The sequence below is a fragment of the Homo sapiens genome, chromosome 1 (genome assembly GCF_000001405.40).
Source record: "Homo sapiens chromosome 1, GRCh38.p14 Primary Assembly".
Classification (NCBI taxonomy): Eukaryota; Metazoa; Chordata; class Mammalia; order Primates; family Hominidae; genus Homo; species Homo sapiens.
This window is the reverse complement of record NC_000001.11, coordinates 248,589,566-248,598,871: the sequence shown is the minus strand read 5'-3', so window position 1 is coordinate 248,598,871 and position 9,306 is coordinate 248,589,566. Positions and strand designations below refer to the sequence as shown.

General features: G+C 36.8%; 1 protein-coding gene across 1 annotated transcript; it reads left to right on the top strand.

Annotated features, from left to right (window-relative positions):
• Positions 1–1,171: 1,171 nt before the first annotated feature.
• OR2T10 (olfactory receptor family 2 subfamily T member 10) lies at positions 1,172–8,385 on the top strand. The gene is made up of 2 exons (NM_001004693.2): positions 1,172–1,380; positions 5,076–8,385. The coding sequence occupies exon 2, from the start codon at positions 5,104–5,106 to the stop codon at positions 6,040–6,042; it is 939 nt and encodes a 312-aa protein (NP_001004693.1). The 5' UTR covers positions 1,172–1,380; positions 5,076–5,103; the 3' UTR covers positions 6,043–8,385.
• Positions 8,386–9,306: the final 921 nt, after the last annotated feature.

Genomic DNA, 9,306 nt, shown 5'->3' with positions numbered 1-9,306 from the left:
ATTTTGGAAAGTCATTTAGTGGAATGTTCTAAGAGGTATAGATCCTCTGACCATCACACCTGGAATTTCAAATTTGTAATTCCACCAAAATAAACACATTGAACAGAGAACTGTTTATTGAAATATCACTCATGTTACAAAACGTGAAAAACACCCTGAAGACTTAAGACACAGGGAGGTCATATAATGTGTTTACTCAGCCAATGTTCTACATTAATTATTTCAAAGTCATATGCTACAGTGTAAAGGCCATTCTATAATCTTCTGTTTGAAATGCAAAAACCAAATTTTTGGATATATCAGTTGTCTCCAAACACATCCTGGAGGGAAATGTTACATTATTCCTAAATTGGTGCTTCTAAGGGTTAAAAGTAAAAAATGTTATTTTGTATTATTTACATTATTCAATGCTTTTCAAATTTTCAGCAATAACCCTATCTTCTGATGAAAATTTCAGTTAAAAGGGTTTATACATTTAACAAAGCGATATCAATCACGAATGTCCATTTTCATAATTAAAAAGTTTCCTATGCACAATTGTTTGAGATAAATAAGAAATTAGAAATAACAAATAAGTTTTACATTTTATGGACACTCAAATGCAAACACTTTGGTTTAAAATGTCATATTTTCAAAGACAAATGGATACAAAATTCTATAAAGAAAATCACATGAAAATGCCTGCCTAAAAGCAAGAAAAATTCAAACTCTAGTTATCTTTGGCTTTTTATAGTATGTGTTGTTATTTCTCCTTTTTATAATAATACTTAGTTTTAAAATTTTCTACAGTTATTACTAAGAAAACCAATAAATAAATGGAAGAATATACTCTATTAAATGTGTTATCAATTGTCTAATTCAGGTTCGTTTCACTCTTTTCCCTCATGGCAAGATGATGCAATGGTTTGACCTGTGAGCGAAGTTGTCTTCAAGGAAACAGTCTGGTGAAGTCTGTTTGCCATTAGTAGATGCTTGTTTTCATTTGGAGGGTTAGAGGAGTTAGGCAATTGGAAAAGTCTATAGAATCAGGCCCTACCATTCAACAAAGGCCAGAGAGACTCCCCCAGGACTGCTCCCATGGAGGCCACCACAGCCCTGTGAGGGGTCCCTGTGGACAGCATCATTCTTCAAGTTTGTCGTCCCAGGACCGCACGTGTTAGACTCGGCAGCATCAGCTGCTCTTCAGGGAGAGTCATCAAGTTCATAAGTGTTTCATCATCTGAAACCCTTTCGCAGAAAAGCAGGCTGGTGTTTCACTGATCACAGAGCAGATTGATCACAACGAAAATGACAAGGCTGTCATTCATCGGGACGACTATACTGGAAGTATCTTATTGGAAATAAAATTCCTCAGGGTATTACATTTCTTCCTTTGTTCCAGTAAGAAAGGAATAATTTATTGTTATTAACTTTTAATAATATATGTATTATAGAATTATATTATCAATTGATATTAATCACCAATGTAACAGTTAATATATATTTAATACAGCAAATATAATTGGTAAAATTATACTAACATTGTTATATTATAGATCACATAAAATAACTCATAAGCATATTTAACCTAATACAAAGCTATAATTTAGAAAGTACTTGCTGTGCATATTATATCTGAAACTCTCTGCAATCCTATTAATTAGGCTGTAGAAATAAGTAGTGTGTACCCCTACAGGTATAAATGGAAAAAAAAGATACTCAAAAGTTTTAGGTGACTTGCAACGTACCTCGGAAAAGAAGAGAACTAAACTAAAAAAATAACTGATTTCAGATCTTGAGCCTTTTCCTCCTGGTGGTATATTTTTCCAGGCAAATCTGACTTAAATTATAAACATTTTTTCCTCTGAAAATCGGAGCAATGTTGAATATTAGTTTTCTTTTCCTCTCTTCTTCCTCCCTCCCTTCCTTTCCTCCTTTTTTCCCCTTGTTTTTAAATAACTGATCTCCCAGACTCCAAAACAGGAAGATGTGGATGAGTGGGAGATGGTTGATAGAGGTTTCAGCCTCATGGTGAGCAACATAATTCTACTTCCTGGGTGAAGCATGACACATCACTTTGGAGTATAAATACCCACTCAAGAAGGAGGGGTGCTCTCCTTCCTACAGTGCAGATGTTACTACTGTGAAGCCTGTCACAACTGGTTTGCTTGCTTTGTCATAAAGGTTTCATTTTGGAAATAGCAGTTCATCTTTAAAATATTTTATTGCTTTTGAATGAACCTAATTGCTGTTCTTTTGCCTTGCGTGGCCGTCTGTGCTGGTGTCATTTGTTTCCTAGAAGTGGATAAATTAATTGATTTGGTTAAGGGGAGTTTTGTTCTGCAGCCTTATGGACTCAGTCCCCTTGTTTCAGTGTCTGTGGAAGAACGGTAGCTTGAACTACATGGCCAAGAAATGCAATATCCACTCTCACTTTTGTTCTCCTGAATAAACCTGAGATATGCTCACCCTGACTAGCTCATGTCCATCTCACTGCTGATTTGCATAATTATACTCATTGTAAACCACCTGTTCAACTTGGGAAGGGGCCTCCTTACATAGACCTAGAGTTAATTAGCTCTGACAGGCACCAGTCTTATCCTGGACACTGTCCCTAAATGGACTCCATTTTTGGGAGCGGACATTAAATACACTTATTTCACTGAGAAGCTGGGCAGCAAGTGAAAATGCTTATCTCCTATAAATTGTGGAAATTCCGTTAAGTCTACTTTTCCTTACCCCTTTTGCGCCTACTTCCTGATTTTTCTTTGAGACATTATGTGATACAGATGGACGATGATCATTCAATTTGGCACATGTGTGTTTTATTTGTCTCAGGTTTCGCCTTTGGTCCAGGCGTACCATGACTCTCACATTTTGCAGTTGTTTTATTTGACGGGACAGACATTGACTGACAGTGGCTGGAGCAGGGCTGATAGTGAATTTCTGAAACGGTTTACCTGATTCTCTGCTTTCTGAGTTCTTGGATATCTGAGAGACAGGGCCTCTATGCTGTTTCACTGCTGGATATATGCTTCATTCTTGGACCATAATTTTTTTTTCAAATTTTTCTAGATGATGTTGCTTCATTGTCTTTTGGAATCTACTAAATAATTCCACTGAATTTTTGAAGTTTATTGGGAATTATTTATTTTGCCTTTATACTTAGAAAATTACTTTCTGCTCCAGGAAAATATAGTTTATTAGTCTAGTAATTTATTAATTGACTAAAATCTACCATTTGTTATGGCCAATGACATGTTTATTTACTGAAAATACATTAAGTCCCCTTTGGTTTTAAGTCTCTTAACATAAGAAAGCAATTTGTTAAAAACTGGCATTACTTTACTCTTATGCTTTCTGTGTCCTTTGCTAAGTATTTCTAAAACAAAATGAAAACCCACGAGTTTAGTCTTGGCCAGGGCAAGATATTTGAAATAAAAAAGGAAATAATATGACCAATTGCAATAATTCTTATTTATAAATTTTAAGTTAATGATAAAAAATATAAAGTGTACATTACAATGTAAAAGGTTACATAAGAAAAGCTGCAATATAAAAAGGATGAATATGTGTCTGATTTAAATAAACATTTGACACGTTATTAATATATTGAACATTAATGATATCTAAAACTATTCATTTTATAAAGGATATGCATTTTCTTTAAGTAGAGAATAATAATAATGAGCATCCATATGTAAATCACAGAATTCTGAACAAGAGAAAGATAGTGCTATCAACGGGAAAGGGCTGACCAGCACCACTGACCCCCCAAAATAGCCAGGTAGAAGAAGAGTCCTACAGCCTATTACAAGGTGATTAATTGACTAGATGCTCTGAGAAGAAATTGGAACTTGGATGATCTGAAGATAGTTATCTCAATTGATTGTTCACAGCCAGTTACAGATAGAATTCCTTGTTCTACATTTTCCTCCCTTCTCACTAGTGCACTTGAGTAGTCTTTAAAAAAAATTGCAACTTCAGAGACCCCCATGCTTGAACCACTGGGAGAAGAAACCTTAGGATGACCTACCTGCATACAATAAATATGTTGGATGTCACGATAAGATAAGTATAAATTGAGGCAAACTTTCTCTCACCAAAATTCTACAGGCAAAATGGGGAGATTGGAAGAAAAGATGTGGGCTTGTAAAATCCAATTACATTTTACTTTAATTTTATAAAGAAGGTTCACATCAAGAAATTCCAAGTGAGGTTCAGACCAATCACCTCAGAATAAACTGATTGGATGATAATGCTGATTCCTAAAGCATCATTGATCTGAGATAGCCATAATTTTTTTTTGATATCTTGAAAGATTGGCAGAAACACAACGGATTAGAACATCTTGATGGAAATTATGAAAATATGAATAAATAACTCACAAGATTAATGTCTTTGTAATAGGTTAAGTGGAAGTATAAAAATACATTTTATAAATCACATATGTGTAAAAGTAAATCATTTTAGAGAAATTTACAAGTTGTACTAGTGTCTTTAATACATTTAAAGAAATTTGACTAAATTTGTAACGTTATATAAGGGTTTGGAATTTTATGTTTAAAATGTTTACAATTACTGGTGGCTTAATATATTGCTTTTAAGTATTGAAAAATTGTATGTTCGTAGATTTGTAACGAGATTTAAGAAACACAAGTATTACTAATCCTTTTTTGCAGACATGACTCTTGAGGGTCAAATATATAGAAATATCTATATTGGTTATTAGCTCTGTAAAATCCCATGGGAATGGGATTTGGGCAATACAGGAACATGCAACTATAAGATACTAACACACACAAAATGTGAACATATATAAGTAAAAATAACTATTAGTGACTATATAATCTATAGGAAATAATTTAATTTCAGTTGTATGGACCTCTTCATTGAGAATATAAATATTTCATTCCCATTCTAGATGGGGAATCAGATTCACAATCTAATGTGCTGTCTCTTTTTAGTGCAAATTCACAGTTCATGTTGGAAATACACTCTGATTTTCACATTGATTTTTAAAAGGTAAAGTGAAGCAAACATACTTTTACGTGGTACACACATGATTATAAATAAAGTTTACTTTTGTCCTCCAGGTAAAGCCACTTCAGCCGATCATACAGCATGCGGCTGGCCAACCAGACCCTGGGTGGTGACTTTTTCCTGTTGGGAATCTTCAGCCAGATCTCACACCCTGGCCGCCTCTGCTTGCTTATCTTCAGTATATTTTTGATGGCTGTGTCTTGGAATATTACATTGATACTTCTGATCCACATTGACTCCTCTCTGCATACTCCCATGTACTTCTTTATAAACCAGCTCTCACTCATAGACTTGACATATATTTCTGTCACTGTCCCCAAAATGCTGGTGAACCAGCTGGCCAAAGACAAGACCATCTCGGTCCTTGGGTGTGGCACCCAGATGTACTTCTACCTGCAGTTGGGAGGTGCAGAGTGCTGCCTTCTAGCCGCCATGGCCTATGACCGCTATGTGGCTATCTGCCATCCTCTCCGTTACTCTGTGCTCATGAGCCATAGGGTATGTCTCCTCCTGGCATCAGGCTGCTGGTTTGTGGGCTCAGTGGATGGCTTCATGCTCACTCCCATCGCCATGAGCTTCCCCTTCTGCAGATCCCATGAGATTCAGCACTTCTTCTGTGAGGTCCCTGCTGTTTTGAAGCTCTCTTGCTCAGACACCTCACTTTACAAGATTTTCATGTACTTGTGCTGTGTCATCATGCTCCTGATACCTGTGACGGTCATTTCAGTGTCTTACTACTATATCATCCTCACCATCCATAAGATGAACTCAGTTGAGGGTCGGAAAAAGGCCTTCACCACCTGCTCCTCCCACATTACAGTGGTCAGCCTCTTCTATGGAGCTGCTATTTACAACTACATGCTCCCCAGCTCCTACCAAACTCCTGAGAAAGATATGATGTCATCCTTTTTCTACACTATCCTTACACCTGTCTTGAATCCTATCATTTACAGTTTCAGGAATAAGGATGTCACAAGGGCTTTGAAAAAAATGCTGAGCGTGCAGAAACCTCCATATTAAAGTGTGAAAGAACTTAAGTTGGTCCTCTCTTCTTAGAGTCTCTCTTCACTTTAGGTGTCCTTCCACCAAACAATCAGCATATTGTGGTAGTGTCTGACTCCCTGAGTTGTCCTTCAGGGGGATTCAGCCCAGTGTTCTTCCCTCCTATAATCACACTTGAGATGATGTTCACTTATCCCCCCCTTCCCTCGTAGCATTGATCTCTAGTCCAGTCCTTCGGGGCCAATGGTCCTTTTTTTAGATTACAGTGGAGAAATATGAAAATAAATGTGTTTATGACCCTTGAGCACCTTCCACCACAGAGAAAATTTGTTTTGCTATCATGGGCCCATTGATGAGTATGAAATAACACCATATTCAGAGTGTTCCTCAGCATCCACTCTGTGCTAAACGCTTTTCGTTCACCACCTCATTCGACCTTCACCCTCTGTGGCTGAGGCTAAGGTCACCCACATTTCACAAATGACAAAACAGCCTTTGAGGCTTCCCCTGACTTGCCCCAAGCAGGGGATCCTCAGGGACAAGGGGGTTCATTCATCCATAGGCATTTGGAGATAAACACATTCAAGACCTCAGAGATGCTAAATGTACAGTTGAGATTTTTCTTCCATCAGAATTTCTAGAATGTGTTCTCAATCAAATTCTTATTTTCTGTGAGCATATAAGAAGTCAAACCTCCCAAAATTAGAGCAGAGACATGGGCTATCCAGTAGACATGGGCTACAACATGTTTGGAGTATAATTGGTTTATTCATAGACTTAACCAGAGAAATATGGAAGTTTCGCACACTTCTCCCTGTTCAAGCCAATGGTGACACATACTTAGAATATAATTTCAAATCACAGTTTTACGTATGTGCATGGTTGTATTTGTATTTAACAAATAACATAATAATTATAACGTCTTGTGTGATTATTATGATCTGGCACCATTTTTAGTGCGTGACATGTATGGAACACTTTTATTTTCACAGCCTATTATTAGCCTTATTCTACAGTTGATTTAACTGAAACCCATGGGTTTGAGTAACATGAACAAAAGGGTGTGCAGCTTATAAAGTGCTCAACAGGGATTTAAGCCCAGGCAGGCAGGCCGGAGTCCCTGCCCCTGACCACTGCATGTGCCACGTCTTGTGGAGTCTGTGGCCTTTTCCACACTGCATTGCCTCTCCCTCTGGGAGGGCCATACTCCAACCTTGGAAACACTATAGTTCTTTCCATACCCAATGTTTTCACGTGGCTTTCCCTCTCTTCGGAATGTTTTTTTATCTGTAAGTACAAGGATACGAAGATAACTTTCCATGACTACATAATCTTCCTTTAGGCCCCAAGTCATTCATTCATTCAACAAATAACTACTGAGCCCCTATAGTTTGCCAGGCCCCGTTCTACAAACTGAGGATACATCAGTGAGCAAAACAAATAAAAATCTTCATCTTTTTTAGCACTTAAAGGGTGTATACAGAAAATAAATTTGGTAATTGAGAAGAAGACATGGAGTATTATCAGAAGAAAAGTGTTGGAAAATCTTGAGCAGGAGAGGGGTCTTGGAGTGTGTAGGGGTCACGTTTTATGTAGGGATTTAGGCTAATCCTCACTGGTTATAGTTGAGCAAAGATGTGGAGTTTACAAGTTAATGAGCCACATTGATATTGGGAGAAATGCTTTCAAGACAGAGCATAGGGACATCTACCAGCCTGTCAATCAAGAGTCCAGTAGGACCATGTCTCAGTAATAGGGATGAACTAGATGTAGATTGAGTCTAACTCCAATTATAAAAAATGATAGTAAAATAAATTTTTCCAACAAACAAAAGTGGATAAAATTCTTCAGCCATAGAAAAATTATCTCAAAAGTAAACTCAGAAATATAAGCAAAAATGACAAACATCAACCCCAAAGAGTAATATGTAAATGAGTCATAATCAATATTGACTTAGCAATAATTTTAATGTAATATACAGTTTAGATTTGTGCAAAACTTAAATGTATGAAAAATCATGTTGAAGATATATCAATATTGATGTAGTAGAGGTAGTAATTTGTGTTAAACTTTAGTAAATCAAGAGTACATGCTGTAATGTTTATAGTAAACGCCAAAACAAGTTTATAAAATGAAAAAATGATAGATTTTTATATTTCTAAAAGAAGCAACGAAAGAATGAAAAAGAGACGTGAAACAGATGGGCCAAATAGAATATGGTTAGAAGTTATAGCTCACATAGAACCCCAATTATATCAGTAATTATTACACATTGCATGCATGTATCAAAATATCACATGTGCCCCATAAGTATGTAGAAATATTATGTATCAATAAAATATGTAATATACTAAATGTTCCAAGTAAAATACTGAGATTATCAGATTATACAATATTATGATTACAGACACCTTAAGTATAAGGATGCAGAGAGACTGAGGCTGTAAGAATGAAAGATGTGGCTCCTCCTGCCAATCACAGCTGCTGGGCCCAGGGTGGTTCCATCCATCCCCCGCCTCACCATGGCTTCCTACAGCCATCGCCAGTTGTCGGGCACATTGTCCTTCCGGGGCCTGGGCGGAGGCTCCGTGCATTCTGGGGCGGGGTCGCCTTCAGCGCAACCAGCATGCACTGGGGCTCCGGCGGCGCGGCGTGTCGGTGTCTTCCGACATTATTTCATACATTATGTACATATATTTCATACATTATGAAATCATGACCACCATCAAGCTCGTTAACATTTCCATCACCTCACAGTTATTTTTTTTTTGGTGTGGTTAGAACACTTAAGATATCCTCTTAACAAATGTCAAGTATACAAGATTTATTCTCTTAACAGATGTCAAGTATACAAGACAATATTGCTAACTATAGTCACCATGCTGTATATTAGCCCTCTAGAAATTATTCACTTTTGCATGACTGAACTTTGTAGCATTTGACCAGTCTTTATTCGTTTCCCTAAACTCCTCACGGGGGACCAACATGCTACTGTTTCTATGAGCTAGTCTACTATTTTAGATAAGTGAGAATATATGGTATTTGTCTTTCTGTGTATTTTTCACTTAGCATAATATAGTTCAGGTTCATTCATGTTGTGCCAAATGGCAGGATTTACTTTGGGCTAAAAAATAAAGAATATTTCATTGTGCAAGTATGTGTATTTATATTTTCATTACATTTTCATTCATTTACAGTTATTTTTCTATTTTTGCTATTGTGAATAATGCTGCAATAAACACTGGTGTGCTGATACCTCTTTGAAATCCCGCTTTCACTTCT